The sequence below is a fragment of the Homo sapiens genome, chromosome 3, assembly GCF_000001405.40.
Source record: "Homo sapiens chromosome 3, GRCh38.p14 Primary Assembly".
Classification (NCBI taxonomy): domain Eukaryota; kingdom Metazoa; phylum Chordata; class Mammalia; order Primates; family Hominidae; genus Homo; species Homo sapiens.
In genome coordinates, this window is record NC_000003.12 from 71306644 (window position 1) to 71327895 (window position 21252).

At 41.8% G+C, this 21252-nt stretch overlaps 1 protein-coding gene across 10 annotated transcripts in view; it reads right to left on the reverse strand.

Moving 5' to 3' along the window:
* The window catches only part of FOXP1 (forkhead box P1), a 629271-nt gene that overhangs the window by 351936 nt on the left and 256083 nt on the right, over window positions 1–21252 (reverse strand). The gene's annotated exons all lie outside the window — the stretch shown is intronic.

Below are 21252 nucleotides of genomic sequence, written 5' to 3' on the forward strand. Positions count from 1 at the left end.
AAAAAAAAAAAAACGCTACTTAACTATATTCTCTAGTTCACTAATCATTTAAGGAAAATAATTCGAGTTTTCCAAAAATATATCCCAAATGCCTGCCTTTCAAATGTCACCAATCCATGACCACTCATTTAAAAACATTACCCCCATATTAGAAAAGATGCTTTTAACTGAGTGGCCTCAACCACTTATAATTTCAATTAAATAACATAATTACAGTCAACAATTTTCTCCATTTCGGCAGAAAATATGCCATACCTCAACATAATTTGTCCTTACAACCCAGGAATTTAAGCAAGAGGAAAAACATGCCAGTGTTAGGAATTCACTACTGACTTTTCTCAGCTTATGGAATCAACTCACACTGACCTCTTATTCTATGTTCCAGCTACATGTTGGTCTTAGTAACTTAATTATTTTTTAATAACTTTTGCAGTATTAAATGATTTTGATTGAAACATAAATAAGATTATGTTCGTCTACTACTTACTAATGCCCTACAGAACTCTGTGGCCAAATCCAGCAGGGCTGTGCTATAGGATGTGTCCATATTATTACTGTATTTGGACTAAAAAGGATAGGTCACAGATCCTTCACAGCCTTCGAGAATGCTGTGATTATCCTAGCCAAGGGAAATAGGGCAGCTTTCTATTTCAAAAGCAATTTTAATTTATTAACACAAAACTGTTTTCTGGCCAAATCATTCTACTGTAAAAGGTGAAGATCACTGAAAAGTTTTAAAATATTTTCACAAACAAACCAACAAACCCAAAACTCATTTCAAACATTATTATGGCATAACATGGAGAAAAGGCAAACAAAATAAAAAGATACCCAAAGACCCAGAGAATAAAACACAGGTTCTCTAAGCGGGGTGCCCACAGAAACTGAAGACGCTGATTTTGTCCACCCTTTTGCCTTGAAATGACCTTCCAAATAAGGTGTTAGATAACCCAGGTCCATAGACAATAGTGATCTAACCTTGCTGCAAATAAACCACAAAACAAAATTTAATCAGTATATCACTGTGAGAAAGCTTCTGTCCATCCCCATGGAGCTTCTAATGAATGTTTTGGCAGTTTTGAGGGTAGTTATGCTTCCCAGCTCATCTATATCTCATACTGGTTGAGCAAGCTAATGGAAGTGATGTTAGTGGAATCCAATATTAATGCTCTGTATCATGCAAACCTGGATGCAACTGAATATATTATACAATTATAGGTAGTATCTAATTCCATAGGTATTAGATACTGTACCCTAAATTAATATTTTAATGAGGACAGTGAAATAAAGACGACAATCCAGGTAAGGGATCCATGCATTGCGGCCCAGCTAAGCTCCTTGCTGAAAGAGCGCCGGATTCGGGAGCGAATGGCACAGACACAGGGATTGTGACAAAAATCCGTATGCAAGCTTTAGATGCTGAGTGACACATACTGATGCACAGAGTCAAAGATGTCATCCTCACACAAGCGCCACTCGCTGTAAGCTTGAGAGAAAATGCAGGGGGAAAGATGGGGGGGCGTAGTTGCAGTGAGACCTCCAGAAAATAAACAGGGTGTACAGTTTCAAAGGCTGCAGACACAGACATTTCATTGTTCAAGCCAATTATCAGTGGAAAATAATAACAACAGATGGATTCAGAGTCACTGACTTTTCATATGCACTTCATCTCGGCGGAACAGATGATGAAACGCGAGAGCTATCTCAAAAAGGCAAAACATCTTTCAGTAAAAGAACTCTACAGTCCAGATGGGGACCTTCTAAGGCTGCTGATTATCTTCTTATAATGTTGTAAGATAGACCTACTAAAACATTTCAAGAACTGATCAGATACGATGCGTACAATGGCTTCATTATTGGAAGGAGTCGCCTCAGACTTGTGACTAAACCCGGCAGAGATTTCAATAAGGTTAGGACTGTAAGTTTCCTGTTTTCTCATCAGGGACTGCAGGTTCCAACTAAAACTGGAAATCTGTGCACAACAGGAGAATAAACTGTCGCCCAAGGATCCTACATATTTGCTCTTCTCTGATTTGAGCAAAGGAAAAAAAAATAAACTGGAACTGTAAAAAGGACATTAAATTATTATGAAGCATTCTACCACAATGTGTGTGTGTGTGTGTGTGTGTGTGTGTGTGTGTGTGTGTGTGTGTGTGTGTGTGTGGGTGAGGGGGGACAGCTCCAAAGCAACTCTTTATTAAAAGCATTCGGTGATAAAATATCACCCCTTACATGCATTAGAACATCTTAAATATCCCTTGCCACTGGTGACTGCAAAATAGAATTTCCTTTTAGTAGGGAATAAATATAAATTTCAATGGTGGTGTAACAGCAATTCTACCAAATGTCAACGAAAACTCACCAACCTACCCTAACCCACTCTCACTCAACTTACTACCAAGTTACGCTTGCTGATAAAACACAAGAGGTTAACCACAACCTGAGGGCTTGCTGTAAGTAATGGAAAAAGTTAAATCTCTAATCAGATAGGCCTCATCCTTACTGGAATAACAATGTATCTGTTCCATGTGTCTGTCTCCTCATCTATCCATCTCGATCCATCCATCCATCACCAATTGCACATTCATAATTTTGCAAAAATTCTTTCCCTGAATTAATATAAAATATGGTCGAAATCACTGCGCTAAGAAAAAAGAAAAGCTGATTCTCTCAACTATTTACTAACATACTTAACATTTAAAAAATATTTTTATGAACACACTGTTGACTTCACAAGTTTATAACGTAATTTTTTTTTTTTTTCTGAGCAAGGCTTTTCTTTCAAAGTACTCTGACAAAAGTAAATTCATAGCAGAACACACAGGCACGAAGAAAATATCGCCAAGGGCAAAATTCTGCAACTGCTTTAAGAAGCAAACAAGAACACAAAAGATGTGTAATACAACCATCTGGCTCTCCTCTTACTATATCAATGCCTCAACCTTATCCCCACCCCCTGAGCCAACCCACACCAATGCCACAAAACCAAATGGCTTCACTTATGTTTCCTGCACAGCAAATTTACACAATGCAGTTAGAATGCAAAAGTTGATTTTGACACACAAACTAGCATCTTTTGAATTTTCCCCACTTCAATGATTTTGTTGTCGTTATCTGTTCAGAGTGGGACTTCTTTGAAAGACCACCAAGAACCTCACCATGATAAAAATGTTCTCACATGGACATATCTGTTCAGCCTCAAGAGAAGTCTCCCTGAAAACCTTAATCTCTGCCATCTTGTGCTTTCTGTTATCATCAGACTTTAGATGTGGACATAAAAAAAAATCCTAAGCTTATTCCAATTAGAACTTTTACTTTTGGGGGGCACTAAATGGTGGGTTGTTTCCCCAACTTATGATTTGAAATGACTGCACTAATTTTTAATTACCATTCTTGCAAGTCAGCACATTCACTGGAATTTTTCCTTATTCAGCTCAGTCTACAAACATTTACTGAGCAACTACTGTGGTATTAGAAACATGCTGGACAATGGATGATCAGAATCTATTATTTTCCCGTGTGCTAGCAGGACTTGCCTGGTACATGAAACCAGCAACTCTACAGTTTATAAAAAATCTTCCACATGCAGGCAGGCTGAAGCATTTTATTTACTTATATACTTATTTTTGAAGGCAGATATAACAGACATTTGAAAGTTATAGCCTGTTTGTGGGGATCTAATTGCTTCCAAAAGGTGGGAATGAATACTTTTCATGGAAATCTCAGTTTGGGTAAAACCAATAAAGCATCATAAATGATTCTCACCAAAGGGCAACAATGTAAAAAATAACTGAAAAAAAATTTCTTCACAGGCAAACTCTACTCTTTGCTTTTCTGCAGGGGCATGCTGGAGGCAGACGTTCTCTATCAGGCAAGAGTTCTCAGTCAGAATTAAGGTCTGCCAGGCAGAGGGCCACGTCTGGTTTACTTCTGTTTTCTCACTGTTGCTGGTCTTCCCCGATTCCTGCCTCCCTCTCCATGTTCCGGGATGAGACTTTGACTGGTTTCTCAAGGGGCTAACTTTTGGTTCTCTTCTGGGCGTTTCTGCCCAGAGTCCCCTGGTTTGGACAGCAGCGATCGTCTGTAGGACACACACAGTGAATCCAGCCACCGGATGAGGAATTCTGCTAATTGTTTAAGCCTGCACTAGTGTCTGGCCACCAGTTGGCAGACACAACTCATGGCTGCCTACCAGGCCTAGGTTAACACAGCTGGAGCCAGATGACAGGCTCTCAAAGATATTCCTCTCATGGCCACATCTGGCTCTTGGCGGTTCCCACTGCAGCTGAACTGATTCTGTTTGGTTGTTCTGGGCAAAAAGTTTAGGCAACAGATAAGTCGTATTAATTTCAGTTTATGACAAAAATATCAGAACATATACTCCATGAAGGCAGGGATTTTATCTGATTTGCATCCCCCTCCCACTTTTTTTTGTTTGTTTGTTTTTTGTTTTTGAGACATGGTCTCACTCTGTTGCCCAAGCTGGAGTGCAGTGCAGTGGCACGATCATGACTCACTGCAGCCTGGAACTAACTACTAGACTCAAGCGGTTCTCCCACCTCAGCCTCCTGAGTAGCTGGGTCTAGAGGCACGTGCCACCATGCCTCACTAGTTTTTTCAATTTTTTGTAGGGACAAGGTCTCACTATGTTGCCCAGGCTGGTGTCGAATTCCTGGGTTCAAGTGATCATCCTGCCTTTGCCTCCCAAAGTGCTGGGATTACAGGCATGAGCCAGTGTGCAGGCCTCTTGCTTGCTGTATCCCAGTACAGAGCAGTGGCTACGCAGGGTAGGTGTTCAGTAAATACAGAATGAGTGAATAACACTAATCAGTGTATGAGTGGAACAAAAACATTCCTGTATCTTACTCCAGCTACTCTGTTCCTACTGTTGTACGTAAAATGGCTAGCATGCTCGTGCACACAGAGAAGTCCTTGAATGGCTCTACAGCTAGATTTTATTATGGACACGCTCATCTCAAGAATGAACCCATGTACATTGTCAGTATAGCTGGAAAGACCTCCAACAATCCTTCCCTTCAAACTACCCAGTCTCCCAGAATTACCCACATCCCAACTTTATTAGTCCTTAAACTGAGAAACTTGGCAGCTCTGTGCCCACAGGGCCTGAGAGTGATCTCAAAGTAGAAACTTACCTTTTGGCCACCACCAAAGTGGGAAATGATGAGGCAACTTTTCCTGGCACCTTTCCATCCCATTTCCTTTCCCATGCCTCTCTTCCTAAATTCCCTGATATCTGCAGATCCCAGCTCCCTTCTACACTCAACTATGACCCAAGGCGAGGCTTCCCCAAAGCTCACCACCTCTCTAGCTCCCATTAGAAACACATTTAGAAAAGCCTACGTAATTTAAAACCAGGCGGGGCCCTCCCTCTTGGCTCCTTCACTAGAAAGAAGCCCAACTTACAGGCTGTTATGTTAATAATAACTATAAAGCTCCCCTGAGTCCACCAAGGGCTTGCTAAAGGTGAAGGGACACTTAATGGAAGCCTGGCAAGGGTGTACGCATATGCTGCTTCTTTCCCAAAAAGAACGTTAACACTCCTAAAACAAGAACGGCTGAACAAGGCAGATGAGTTCAACAAGCTCAGCATCTGGACTTCAGCGAAAGAAAGGTAATCAAGTGTGCTAGAGGAAGCTGTTGCTGAACTCATCTCCTTTTCTATCATATAAGGCAGCAGGGTGGAGGTATAGATAATTTTTTTAAGCTAAGTATAAGTTTCTGAAAAGAGTACTGTGTTCACTACGAAGAATTCAGGCTTCAAGCTCCCCTTGGAAGGAGCTGCTTACTTCATTAAAGGTGGACCAGAAAGATGAACTCCTAAAATGCCTCTCCTTCCCTGCTTCTGCTATTTGAAATTACTTTAAAAATGAGAGAATAAGCTAGGCTCAGTGGCTCACACCTGCAATGCCAGCTATTAAGGAGGGTGAGGCAGGACGATTGCTTGAGCCCAGGAATTCAAGGCTGCAGTGAGCTAGCATGGTGCTGCCGCACAATAGCCTGGGCAATAAAGTGAGACACTGTTTAATAATGGGGGAATAGGCCAGGCACGGTGGCTCATACCTGTAAATCCAGCACTCTGGGAGGCCAAGGCAGGTGATCACACTTGAGGTCAGGAGTTCGAGGCCAGCCTGGCCAACACGGTGAAACCTTATCTCTACCAAAAAATACAAAAAAAAATTAGCTGGGCATGGTGGTGCTTGCCTGTAGTCCCAGGTACTCAGGAGGCTGAGGTGGAAGAATTGTTTGAACCAGGCAGGAAGAGGTTGCAGTGAGCTGAGATCGTGCCACTGCACTCCAGCCTGGGTGACAGAGTGAAACCCTGTCTCAAAAATAATAAAATAAAATAAGGGAATGTCTTTGTACAATTGCACAATCACAATGAAACTTTAATTCTTTTTTTTTTTTTTTTTTTTGAGATGGAGTCTCGCTGTGCCACCCACACTGGAGTGCAGTGGCGCAATCTCGGCTCACTGCAAGCTCCGCCTCCCGGATTCATGCCATTCTCCTGCCTCAGCCTCCCGAGTAGCTAGGAATACAGGCGCCCGCCACCACGCCCAGCTAATTTTTGGTATTTTTAGTAGAGACGGGGTTTCACTGTGTTAGCCAGGATGGTCTCGATCTCCTGACCTCATGATCCGTCCGCCTCTGCCTCCCAAAGTGCTGGGATTACAGGCGTGAGCCACTGCGCCCGGCCAAGCTAATTATTTAAAAAGCAGTACAACAGGCTGCAAGTGATTGTTATCTACCTATTCATTGGCTGAAAACAGGCTATCAAAAACAACAAAAACAAACAAGTTTTGAAAGTTAGGAAAGAATTTTTATAAAGGCAAGGCTGAGGTTGTACAGATCGAGTATCTGCATTTCTTTTTCTTTTTTTTTTTGAGACAGTCTCGCACTCTCGCCCAGGCTGGAGTGCAGTGGCGCTATCTCTGCTCACTGCAAGCTCCGCCTCCCGGGTTCCCGCCATTCTCCTGCCTCAGCCTCCCGATTAGCTGGGACTACAGGCACCAGCCACCATGCCCGGCTAATTTTTTGTATTTTTAGTAGAGACGGGGTTTCACCGTGTTAGCCAGGATGGTCTCGATCTCCTGACCTCGTGATCCGCCCACCTCGGCCTCCCAAAGTGCTGGGATTACAGGCATGAGCCACCGTGCCCGGTCGAGTATCTGTATTTCTTAATGCATCCTTGGGCTGCCTCACCTAAAACTAAGTATTACAGAATATAGTACTATACAGTATACTTTAGACTAGAATAGTTCAGAATTTACAAGCATGGATTCAAGTGCCCAAGTTCTTATTAGCTCTGGTGCTGACTGACCTTGTGAGCTTAGGCAAATTGCCTAAGCTCTCTGTCCCTCAGTGTTCTCATCCATAAAATGGGCTTCATTACAGTGCATTATTTGCTTTTGTAGAATAAATGCATTGACATGTCATAAGTACTTAGAATAGTGTATGGCACAAAGTGAATGCTCAAAGAAATGATGGCTGCCGTTATTACGATCAGGGATGATATAACTTAAATAAATCTAAAACATCCTACACCTCATTTCTACCATCTCTACAAGTTCTTAAAAATAGCTGGCTGGCCAGGCATGGTGGCACATGCCTGTAATCCCAGAACTTTAGGAGGCTGAGGTGGGCGGATCTCAAGGTCAGGAGATTGAGACCATCCTGGCCATCATGGTGAAACCCATCTCTACTAAAAGTACAAAAATTAGCTGGGTGTGGTGGCGGGAGCCTGTAATCCCAGCTACTCGGGAGGCTGAGACAGGAGAATCACTTGAACCCGGGAGGTGGAGATTGCAGTGAGCCGAGATAATGACACTGCACTCCAGCCTGGTGACAGAGTAAGACTCCGTCTAAAAAATATATATATATATATATATATCTGGCTGTCTGCCATGCTACAGGCTGGAAAAATAAAAGAGAATGTATATCAGATTTTAAACTTCTTAAGAACATAGTGCTAAAATAAAATCAAAGTACTTATTTTTTCCCCTCAATAGTAGTTGGAGAATTGTAGGTATAAGATTGGGGTCTCACCTACCTCAGTGGAGGCAAGTCATTAGTTACAAAAAAGCTACAAGCCAAAGTTAGCCTTGGGGCTGCCTGTCCCACCAACTACCAAAAAAGACTTTGGGGAGATGTTCAAAGAAGGAAAGAGGAGAATCCAGCCTGGAACCAAAAGGCATTGAAACACATTTTCTTGTACTTTTCAAGTCTGTGCATATAGATTCTGTTACTGATTTAGGATCTTAAACAGTTTGTTTATTTTTTAAATGCCTTTCAGCTCACCTTTAATAACATGTTTCTTTGACTTGGCTGAACTGTGCCTCAGAAGAATTACAAGCGGGAATAAGGCTGGGATAAGGCTGGGTAAAAGGTTCAGTGAACTAATCCACACCTGGTCCATGTAAAAAAAAAAAAAAAAAAAAAAAAAAAAGAAAGAAAGAAAAAGAAAAGAAAAAGCTCATATTTTCCATATAGAAACAAGCCCCTTTATATGAACCAGCCTTTTATTTAATTGCTAAGGCACTTTCCACACCGTACAACCTTTCATGTCCTTCTTCACTTGGGTGGGGAAAAGGCACAGAACCACTTTCCAGCCACACCAGGGCGCTTTATCAGCAACAGAAATTAATACTCCTATTAATAATGATAGCAAGCACAAACCTGATTCAAAATGGGAAGCGGTAGGTTCATTTAAGCAGAAATTCCCTGACCAAGTTTTGCCAATAAAAAAAAAGACAAGGATGTCCCCTGAGAACAGATTTGGGATAAACTGTGACAATCTCTTCATCAAAATTCAGACTTTTTTTCTGCCTCAGTTGCGTGACCCAGACTACTAAGTGGAAGGAATAAGGCATGGATGGGGAAAATCTTGAATGAGAGAGAACAGCAAATATCTTAGAGCTAAAATGTGCCTCTGAGAGGTCCAGGCAAGCCACTCCTCTGGGAGGGGACTCTGTGTGACCAAGGTCACACAGGTGGTGGGGACGAAAGCAGGAACTCAAGCCTGTGACTCCCAATTCATAGAGAAAAGCAATGGCTACAGAATATGGCCCCTGGGAACATCAGTCATGTTAAGAGGAGATTTAAGAGGAGGATCCTGTGAACAGCAAAGAGGCCAGAGAACAGAAGGAGAAGTCATGAATGTCCCACAGACTGTGCCAGCCCATTGCATCTGAAGCTGGACTTGAACAAGCTTTACTTTCTCCTATGAAGTCCTTCACTTCCAGGCCCCAGGTATCTTCTATTTGCCTCTTAGTTTTGTTCATAGGAAAATTCTTTTAACCAACTCTGGTTTGAAGTAAGTGGAAAAGGAGACATTTCCACACTTCCGTTAAGAGGCAGCAAAGTGAAGTGGAGAGATCATTTCATTAGGAGGCAAGAGAGGGCGGCTCTGCTCCTGGACCCACCGGTATCTCATCTAGGATTTGGGAAGCCCCTTCTCTTCTGCAGATCCAGGCTCGTCACTGGTACAAGGTGGGGTACTCAGGGATGGTGTTTAATTGCTACAGACGGGTCGCCTGAACAAAGTGCTAAAATGCTGAAATACTTGTGTACTCGCTGGGAAACAGCCCTTGCCCCCAAGCCTCCTGAACACACCCTTGACCAGAACCTTGGACTTTCCTGCCTCCTCCACGGCATGGTGAGGGTTTCCCAGAGCCCTGCTCCAGGGCTAGAGCTAGTGGCCATCGGGATGACCACAGCTGTGCTGTACCTGTGAACTATTCTAACCATCACCCCAGATGCTCTGATAGGTCCCTTTCCAAGGCTAGATGCAAGGACCACCAGGGCCAGCTAATGCCCTAGAGAATGCCACTACCCGGGTCCCACGTGGGGCCCGGCAAGAGACAGAGGGGCTGGAACAAGCACAACAGTGGATCCACCACAGAGCTGCCTTCCTCCCCAAATTACTTCCCTCACTTGGGGCACCCGGATGTAGGCCTGTACAAATGAGGCAAGTCAACAGAATCTTCTTAGGGCATATTCTTTTTTTTTTTTTTTTGAGATGGAGTCTTGCTCTGTCGCCAGGCTGGAGCGCAGTGGTGCGATCTCAGCTCACGGCAACCTTCGCCTCCCAGGTTCAAGTGATTCTCCTATCCCAGCCTCCTGAGTAGCTGGGACTACAGGCGCCTGCCACCATGCCCAGCTAATTTTTTGTATTTTAGTAGAAACGGGGTTTTACCATGTTAACCAGGATGGTCTCTATTTCCTAACCTCGTGATCCGCCCACCTCAGCCTCCCAAAGTGCTGGGATTTCAAGCATGAGCCACTGCGCCTGGCCAGGGCAAATTCTTAAGGCTAAATTTGCTTCTGAAAACTGGAAAGAAATATACCATTGTGAAACAACTCTCAAAGTAAAATCCTCAGCTCAGAGGGAACCCACCCCAACATATGTAATCAAATTATATTTATCATGGAAATTCTAACAGCTCCTACTTTCTACTCCACTTTTACTACCCTCTAGGAAAAGGAATATTTTACTATCCTGTGTTCCAAATTTCCACCAGAGAGTTGAAGCATTATACATGCTAAAATATATAGGAAAGGAAAAAAATTCCCATTATTATTTCCTTCAACCCCCTCTACCTTCTATGCCACCATTACTCAAAAGTCACTCAAACATTTTGCTGGCTGACATGACGCCACGCTGTCACTTGATCAGGTGTGGAGTACCACATGGAATGAATAAATACTTATCCACAACCGCATATTAAATGGGAATTCGCACAGGCGGGCTCTGGAGACAAAGACGTTTCTATACAGAAATATTAACTAAGAATTTAAGTAAATGGCCCCACTGGAAAAAAAAAAGGTCTGAAGTAGCAATATAAACTATATTTAATAGCAACAAAAAATATTTTCCTTTTGGGAAAGCAATTTGGGCTTCTAAAAGTTACTGCCTTTCACGTGACTTAGTACAGTATGCCTGAATTCTTTCATTTCCTAAAACACAGATGCTAGGCCCCAAAATTCTACTTTGTGAGAGTTAATTTTTTTTTTAATTAATCTTCCCCCAAATACAATACTCAAATAAGAAACTATTTTGGTACCTGTCCCCCCCACACAATTGTTATTTTCTTAAGTGTCTGAGTATAACACGTCCCAAAGAACATATGTTCCTGAGGAAGAAAAAAAACCAGGCTCTAGAACTAATACACAATGAAAAATAAATTTAAAGCAGCCTTCTGGTCTGACATAAGAATATAAAAATGATATGAGCAAGAACAGCTTAGTTTACATACTTTTCAGTCACAGCTGCTGCTCCAAAACCACAATACCTTTAAAATGACATTTTAAGGAAACAGATACGGCGTGGCTTTAGCCATAGTTAGATGTAGCTAACACTGAATTAAAGGGGCTTTTCTTTTTATACACACACTTTATATAACCCTGTACACTGGTACAATTAAGAAGAGTAAGTCATTTTTAAAAAATGTAGTGATAAACAAAATGAATTACAAATAATTCTACCCAGCAAGGTTTTTTTTTTTTTTTTTCCTTCTTTTTCCTTTAAAATCGCCAGACTCAGGCATGAAAATAGAGTTTCAGGGACAGAAGGAACAAGTCCCCTCTTCTTGGTTAATATTTAATTGGGTGCTAAAGATTTCTTGGAGAGGACCTCTGTACCTCCAGTGACAGGCATACAAGAGGCTCCTATCTCTGCAAGAGATGCAGGCACTTCCCTGAATAAACGAAAATAACATACAATTAAATCAGACTATTCAATTAATAAATTACTTTGGTGGACCTTGCAGGCCAAGTCCTATTTAATTACATAATTTTAAAAATATTTGCACATTGCAATCACCGAAATTGGCTTTGAGGTTTCATAATACACACTTAACACTTGAGTTAGAGAACACATTTATTTAATAAATGCAGGCCTAAGTGCTAGAAGGCCGTACCACTCTAACTGCAAAATCACTTAGCACATCTTCAGAAAAAGCAAATAAACTTTTTCACTATTTAGACGTGGGCTGCTGTTGAATGTCAGGAGAAGCTGGCTGATTTTTTTGTTTTCTCTGTCATGTGTTGCTTGTAAATCTGACTATTCTGAGAGGTGATTAGAATAGAGCTAATGGACAAAATGGTTCCAGTTAAAGATAACTTAAAGATAAACTAAGGTGGAAGATGTCAAGGTCCTGGTAGTAAAAACCTCTTCAGAGTAAAACAAAGAGAAGTCGTATTAACTCCCCATTTTTCACTTCTTGGAATACCAAAATACACCATAAATTAACATGGTTACTGAGCGTAAAGATGTGTTCCATTAGGAAAGCACACACAAATTCAAGGATGAGGAGGACATTCATAAACAGAATAGAATTACAGGGTACCCCAAAGAGGGCAGAAACATTTCAAAGTGACTCTGTTCCCTATAGTTGTACTGGAAGTCGTGATTTTGCCATTAACTGAAGTTTTCTAGAAAACCACTTGACCGCTTTACTGCCACAACTTTTTTTTGATAGAAATCTTTGTCAAACACACACATTTTCAAATAACCATTGCACACCTTACACCCACAATGGCCTCAGAGCTTTTTGAGCTGTGTGGGGTTGACTCTCTTTACACCAAAAGCCCCCATACCACCACAATAAGGGTTATTTTTGTTGCTGTTTGGGGGTCTTCTCCTTAAAGATTTCTGTCATAAATATATGATCGAGCCTGCTGTGTGCTTTCATTTGCCTGCTTCTAGAAACTTCTATGCTAAATTCCCAAAGCCTCTAAGTTGCTACTAACTACTATGCTAACTATGAATTCAGAATTCATAGTTCTGAAATTTAAAAAAAGATTTAAATTAAACTGAAAAGAAAGATTCTGGTGTGACTTTATAATCTCTGTTCAGTGATGAAACAAAAATTCTTTTCACAGTCTCATAGCCCCCTACTCTCTCCTCCCTTTCAAAAACTTCTGTAAAGAGCTGCTATACTCCCTGTCTCCACTTATTCATCTTCTAAACATCCTGCAGCCCACACCATGCCACTGAAACCTCTGTTGCCAAAGTCATTAAGTTTTCAGTCCCTTTTGTTTGATCCATAGGCTGCATTTGGCAGAGTGCACCCTCCCTTCTTCTCAAACAGTTCCCATTTCCAAGCAGTCTGCCTGTAACATTGGCTCTCCATGATCTACAACCTTCTTCAGCACCCTCTTCTCCGCCAATCTGGTTCTTCTTCCTTGGGCCTTCCCTCAGTGAATGCTACCACCACACGCCTAGCCAATGGGGCCAAACACTCTGGAGGCACATTTGACTCCTCCACCACATCCAACAATGACATCCACTCCATTCTCTTTCCTTCACCCTGACCAACACTTGCCGGCCCACACAAGGGTGCCTCCCACGACTCTGCAATTCCCTTGTGAAGGCTCTTTCCTGCCTTTGGTTTTGCTCTCCTCAAACCTACCCACGGGGAAGACAAACTCATCTTGCAAAATGTGAATGTACAACGTTCCATCAATTCCCAGACAGCTTCCCCAGTCACACCTTAATATTTTTGACATTAGGACGCATCTCAACATTGACATGGATGCTTAACGTTGCATGCTTACCCACGCACATCCCATCCCAGCTGAACAATTTCTTAGCTTTCTAAGGCCCGGAAGGCCAAGGGGAAGCATCTAGAGGTATTCAAAAGGCTGTGCTGGATGTTAGCCGCTGCTTGGTCCTCTGCTTGCACTTTTTTTGCGGCTCTGGAACCACCATTCTACCACGGACAGACACTCACATACACACCCTGTACAGTCTTGTCTCTAAGCCGCTGCACAGATCTAGCCTACCACCGTATTGCTCTGCCCTCTTTCACCTAAGAAATCCCACACATCCCATATAACTCAGGCACAAATACCACTTCCTCCAAGAAGTCCTCCCTAACCTCCCTTTAGATCAATGTCCCTGTTATCTATTCCCTTTGTACACAGTACTTGTCCTAATACAGGCATGACTCCATTTTATTATAATGGTCTATTTAATCAATCATTTCTCTTGCTAAGCTCTATCCCAGTCTACAAAAGGCACTTAATAAATCTTGAATGAATAAAGTAAAAGCTGATGAATTTCAGTAAACAACGTTAACGGCAACAATTTTTCCTTCTTTGGTTCCTTCATAAAATCAGCTCTTCTCCATCTTTGTTCCTCTCCCTACTACAATGGTTCAGCAACACGCGGCCAAGCAAATCAAGTCTGCATAGTATTTGTTCATACCTCTGAAGATATAAGAAATGTGTCACAGCTGATATTTATGTGAATGACTGAGATATAATTTGAACAAAAACTCTTCCGTTCCCTTGAAGTAAAATCATCTTATTGTTTATGATACAGTGCAAAGGAAATAGAATGAGCAAGGAAGCTATAAGAATTTAATCAAGTCGACTTCTTATAAATAAGAATTGAGATTCACTATGCACCCCTAATTACCCTCCCGCTACTAACAGTGTCCTAATTTAGACTGTACCAAAAAAAAAAAAAAAAAGGAAAAAAAACGCTTTCAGATAGTAAGACGATTTTGCATTAAGGTCTCAGATGAGCCTTAGTGCCATTCCCTCTCTTGGGCTGTGGTCTGCTTAACTTCAGCTTTAATGATATCACGCTTCCCACTTTGACAAAATCAAACTTCGCAGTTGGCCTTCAAAACAGTGTGGAAGAAAGAGTTGTCATGGGACAAACCAGTGACCTCTAACCCTTGGCAGATTTGGTAATGAAGACAAGAAATCTGGTATGAGCCAGCCATAGCCCCAGACTCAAGAAATGGTGTCATTTAAGTGACCATGGAATAAAAGCCAACTTCTGGAAACGTGAGATGGCCACATGGGCTATATATAACACATAAGACTATAGACATTTTCTCTGGGGTTCAGGTTTTCAGAGACCCACAACTAGAATATCAAAAGAAATTTCGTGCTCACAATGTAATTAAAGTAACTGGCAGGCATAATTCAATCTTATTTTTCTTTCTTTTTTCTTTTTTTTTTTTGAGATGGAGACTCACTCTGTTGCCCAGGCCGGAGTGCAGTGGTGCGATCTCCTCTCACTGCAACCTCTGCCTCCCAGGTTCAAGTAACTCTCCTGCCTCAGCCTCCCAAGTAGCTGGGACTACAAGTGTGCACCACCACACCTGGCTAATTTTTTTTGTATTTTTAGTAGACAAGGTTTCATCATGTTAGCCAGGATGGTCTTGATCTCCTGACCTGTGATCCGCCTGCCTCGGCCTCCCAAAGTGCTGGGATTACAGGCGTGAGCCACTGTGCCCAGCCTCAATGTTATTTTTCATGATTATAAAGTTGCCTGCGTCACTTAACTTTGCTGATCTTCACTTTCTTCATCGGGAAAATGGGGTAATGAGATCTGTGTGTCAGATGTGAGAATATGTGTTATACTCATAAGCAGGATTTTTATTTGTATATGTGTAGAGAGGTGTATAAACTACAAAAGATGAAAATTTTTGATACAACTCTTACATCATTCATTCCGTTGTTTAGCAGACTTTAGGGAACACCATTCTGTACTATATGGAATAAAAACATGAATAAAACTAGGCCGCTGCCCTCAAGAAGCTCATATCAACATCTGGGCTATGAAAAACAGTAGTCATTAGCCACATGTGGCTTTTAAGTTTAAATAAATTAAAACTAAATATAACTAAAAATTCAGTTCCTCAATTGCACCAGTCATATTTCCAGTGTCAAAAGCCACATGTGGCAATCAGCTATCATAGTGGATAGTGTAGATATAGAACATTTTCATCACTGCAGAAAGTTCTATGGGACAGCTCAGGTCTAGAGAAAAAAGTACAGTGTGTAGGTACATTTTAACCTACTGTGATAGGTGACAAACTGGCAGCAGAAGAGGTTTTCTCATGGAGCCAGTACCTTTGAAGGATGGTAGGCTTCATTTTTATAGGACAGAAAACAGGAGCCAGGTGGAGCGAGGCACACATGCAAAGGTGCACTGTCATCAAGGGGCATTCGGAGCTCCAGGAGGGGTAAACTATTCTTGGTGACCGGCATGGAATTATATGGGGGAGCAGTGGCCACAGAGAAGTCTGGAGAAATTAGGATCCAACTATGAAGGTCTCCCAAGCCAAACTAGAAGTCTGGACTTACTGTGGAAAACAGAGATGCGGATGCAGTAGAGTGACCACTGGATGTGTTTTGTAGAAAACCAACTATGCTGACAAAGTACAGCAGTGGCGGTTACCTCTGGAGATGGACATGAGAACTCTGGAAAGCTTCTAAAAATGCTGATGCCAGAGCCCTTGCCCCAAATGCATTAAATCCCTTTCTGGGCACAGGGCCCAAGCTCGGTACTTTTTTTTTTTTTTTTGAGATGGAGTCTTGCTCTGTTACCCTGGCTGGAGTGCAGTGGCGTTATCTTGGCTCATTGCAACCTCCACCTCCCAAGTTCAAGCAATTCTCTTGCCTCAGCCTCCTGAGTAGCTGGGACTACAGACATGCACCACCACGTCTGGCTAATTTTTGTATTTTTAGTAGAGATGGGGTTTCATCATGTTGGTCAGGCTGGTCTCGAACTCCTGACCTCATGATCCGCCCGCCTCGGCCTTGGTACATTTTAAACTCCCAAAATGACCAATATATAGTCAGGGTTGAAAACCAGTGGAGATGACAAAGAACTGAGACTGAGGTTAAGTTAGAATGAAGTAGTATAAGGAACAGTCTACTGCCATGACCCTATTAAAAGACAGGGAGGACCATCCCAACACAGAAACTGGGAGGGTGGAGAGGAAAGGCTCATTTTGGTAGACGTTTCTAAGACAGAATCAATGAGACCTACAAAACCAAGAATATGAGCAATAAGAGAAGAAAAAAAGAATATAATATGATAACTTCTGTCCCAGGGCAATAAGGACCAAGACCAAGCACACGGGAAAGTGAGCAGGTTTGGGAGGGGAAGAGTGTGTAACTAGTTCAGTTTTAGATGCATTGCCTGCTGCATTCTACGGAGCACCTCGTAAAAAGGCCCCGCAGGCTGGAAGAAATATTAGACTGATTCTAAAAAGCCAAGGCCTAGAGTGGGACACAGAATAGTTTTCACGAGTACTTATGCAATCTTGACAAAGTAAATATTTCCGTAAAACTTCAACCTATGGGAACAATAGCAAAGACATGCACTTTAAACATTTTGTTCTATTTCCATCTATTCCACACTGCACATTAATGACTCTAACTGCCTTGCTTCACCAGCAGGACACAGGGATCCTGTCCCAGCACTACCAGTTATATAAATTGCATGGCCTGGAACAAATCACTGGACTTGCTGGGCTTCAATTTCCTAATTAGTAAAAGGACAGGGCTGAATTAGAATTAGATACTACCATGTGGCCCTCCACTTTGAAGATTCTGAGGAGAAATTCTATAATTTATAATCATATCTATCATTTAAATATACATTAAATATATAAAATTATATATTTATAATTCATACTCTATGTTCCTGAGATTATATTATTCAGAAAATATAGATTCCCAAAATTAGATACATATATTTCCTTTTGTCTTAAATTTAGCCATTAAAGACACACACATGTTGTTTAGTTCTGAATACCAATTTGGTTCTGTTTTTCCTTTGCAGTATTAAAGTAAGGGGTTGCCCAAAGGATTATAAATCATGCTGCTATAAAGACACATGCACACGTATGTTTACTGAGGCACTATTCACAATAGCAAAGACTTGGAACCAACCCAAATGCCCATCAATGATAGACTGGATTAAGAAAATGTGGCACATACACATCATGGAATACTATGCAGCCATAAAAAAGGATGAGTTCATGTCCCTTGTAGGGACACGGATGAAGGTGGAAATCATCATTCTGAACAAATTATCGCAAGGACAGAAAACCAAATGCTGCATGTTCTCACTCATAGGTGGGAAATGAACAATGAGAACACTTGGACACAGGGTGGGGAACATCACACACCGAGGCCTGTCGTGGGGTGGGGGGAGTGGGGAGGGATAGCATTAGGAGATATACCTAATGTAAATGACAAGTTAATGGGTGCAGCACACCAACATGGCACATGTATACATATGTAACAAACCTGCATGTTGTACACATGTACACTAGAACTTAAAGTATAATAAAAACAAATAAATAAATAAATAAATACATTAGTGTAAATTCAAAACAAATTAAAAAAAATAAACCAAGCGGTTGCGAACTCTAAAGTCTGTTGGAACAAAGGGCCATGCTAATGAGCAAAACAGCCCAGAGGAGAAAGGCAAGCCCTAGGCCATGCCCCAGCTAAGGGGGCACCCCAGCCATGACTCAGCTCCCACCCAGCTGCCATTTGGGAATGTGGACCCAGCGCTGCTCTACATCTATCGCAATGGCCAGAAATCCAGAGTTGCTGTAGGTATAATCCCTTGATTTTTTTTTTTTTTTTTGAGATGTTGTCTTGCTGTGTCATCCAGGCTGGAGTGCAATGGCTCCATCTCAGCTCACTGCAACCTCCACCTCCCGGGTTCAAGAGATTCTCCCACCTCAGTCTCCCAAGTAGCTGGGATTACAGGCATAAACCACCACACCCGGATAATTTTTGTATTTTTAGTAGAAATGGGGTTTCACCATGTTGGCCAGGCGGGTCTCGAACTCCTGGCCTCAGGTGATTTGCCCGCCTCAGCCTCCCAAAGTGCTGGGATTACAGGCGTGAGCCACTGTGCCCAGCCAATCCCTTGATATTTAAATGCTGGCAACGGATCAAATTATTTTAATGTATTTTACAGACCAAACACAACAGGTCTGAGATTGCCAGCTTGTCTCATGCCCTAAAGTATGCCATCCTTCTATGGTTTATGAACCTGAAAACCATAAAACATGGATTAAAAGTAAGAAAGAAGTCCTCTGAAGTCCCTAAGATACTTCTAACCACTGCTTTCAGTCTAAGCAAGTTTGACCAACAATACCAGCATGGCCCTTGAAGCAGCCTTCATATTAAGGGCCTATAAAGAAATCTCCTACAAATGTATTATTATTATTATTATTATTATTATTATTATCACTATTTTAGAGGTGGGTCTCACTATGTTGTCCAGGCTGAAGTGCAGTGGCTATTCACAGGCATGCTCATAGCACACTGCAGCACTGAACTGCCAAAGCAATCTTCCCACCTCCTCCCCACAAGAAGCTAGGACTATAGGGCATGTGTCACCATATCTGGCTCAAAATGGCATTATTTTGTATGAAACATCTGTGGGATTTGAATGGAGAAGAGAACGCCTGATGAATGTATTCTTTGTATACCAAATATACAGTGGACTTTAACACTTAGTGATAAAAATGTAATGATTTACATTCTGCTGACAGCATCCATATAGCCCTCAGTGTATTCAAAACAGAAAAATACTTTATTTGGCGTGCATATTACTCTCTTTCTTGCTTTCAAGTAGAAAAAAAAAGCCACCAAATTTCTCTTTTCGTTATACCATTTTTTACATGAAATATTAAAGAATCTGGCACGCATTAGCAGGAAGAGGCCAAGCATATCTGGACTATGCCATTACCCTCTTCTTCAAAGCACTATGAAATGTAATCTTTGGTCACCAGATCACCTTAAGATCAGTGCTGCAGTGCAAATAAAGGCATTGCTAATAAAAAACAGTCTGCATTTGGAAGAGTTGTCCTGTACATACCCAATGGGGACTCAATGGGCAAGAAATCCCAAAGAAAATCATAAAAGAGGCTCGGATGAAAAATAACAGTCCAATAATCATCGTAATAAAGCTCCCAATGATGGCCAAAACAACAACAACAATAATAACAACAACAAACTCCTGGTGACAACTTGAATTTCATGCTTATTCTGTGATGGCAGAGCTGATGGCATCCTGGCTCTCAGAACAAAATCTGCAATAGATTCTTCAAGAGATGTGTTGTGAAAAAATAGAAGGAAGGAAGGGAGAGTTTGGAGCTAGGTACTTTGGCACAGGATTTCAGTTTACATAAGCAGAATGCAATAAAATCTTCCTCGTCTAAATGATCTACTTGAGAACAGCTTTCTCATCATGCTTACTGGTTGGATGTATTAGGTGGGTAAATATTTTTTTAAAGCAAACTCCTAAATCCCACCAGGAGTTGGGGAAAGGGAAGAAAAGAAAGGGTGTCAGAGTTGGGAGAGATGGACTATGACAGACTTTATGGTACAGAAAGGTCAAGATGAACTCCGGATGAACTGGTTTACTGCAGAATGAGACAATAATCCAAACTATAAGAGAAATAGTTGGAGGAAGTCATTAGAAAGAGAAATGTGTACCAGGCACAGCATTATACTCTTCTTATCTCCATTGAACAGATGAGGAAACTAAGGCCCAGCAAGGTAACTAGTCCCAATTCATATAGCTAATACATGGCAAAGCTTAAAGTTGAACTGCACTGCCCATTCTAGAATCCAAGGTCTTAACCACCATGTTACACGGTCTCCCTAAGATTGAGACCACAGGGCCATACTGAACAAAAGCAAGTAAAGACAGAACCAGATGTGAGAAGAGAAAAGATACCTTCAGAAATGCTTGTGAAGGGAATCATTTGAGGCTGACTTTGATGGATCAATGAGGGAAATGGCTGGGAGGGAGGAGGTGACAGCCTTGTTGTTAGTCCAAAGAGGGGAATGAGGCAGACTCACTGTACTCAATGAAGAGATTATTGTGCCTCAGCCTCCTGAGTAGCTGGGATTATAGGTGTGCATCACCACCATGTCCAGCTAATTTTTTTTTTTTTTTTTTTTAGACGGAGTCTCCCTCTGTCACCCAGGCTGGAGTGCAGTGGTGCGATCTCAGCTCACTGCAAGCTCCGCCTCCCGGGTTCACGCCATTCTCCTGCCTTAGCCTCCCGAGTAGCTGGGACTACAGGCGCCTGCCACCACGCCCAGCTAATTTTTTGTATTTTTAGTAGAGATGGGGTTTCACCGTGTTAGCCAGGATGGTCTTGATCTCCTGACCTCATGATCTGCCCGCCTCAGCCTCCCAAAGTGCTAGGTTTACAGGTGTGAGCCACTGTGCCCAGCCCAATTTCTCAAAGTTATAAGCAGAGCAAATGACCTGCTGTAAAGGGTAGTTCAATTCTATCACATATAAGTGTGTATGTGCAAACCTGTATGTTTACTGATACATTATATCTCAATCTCAAAGTATCTCTAATCTAACTCACTCTTTTTGCTTATTATAACACATTCTTTCAAAATAAGGCGCATATAAATGTCTGTAATTTTATTACC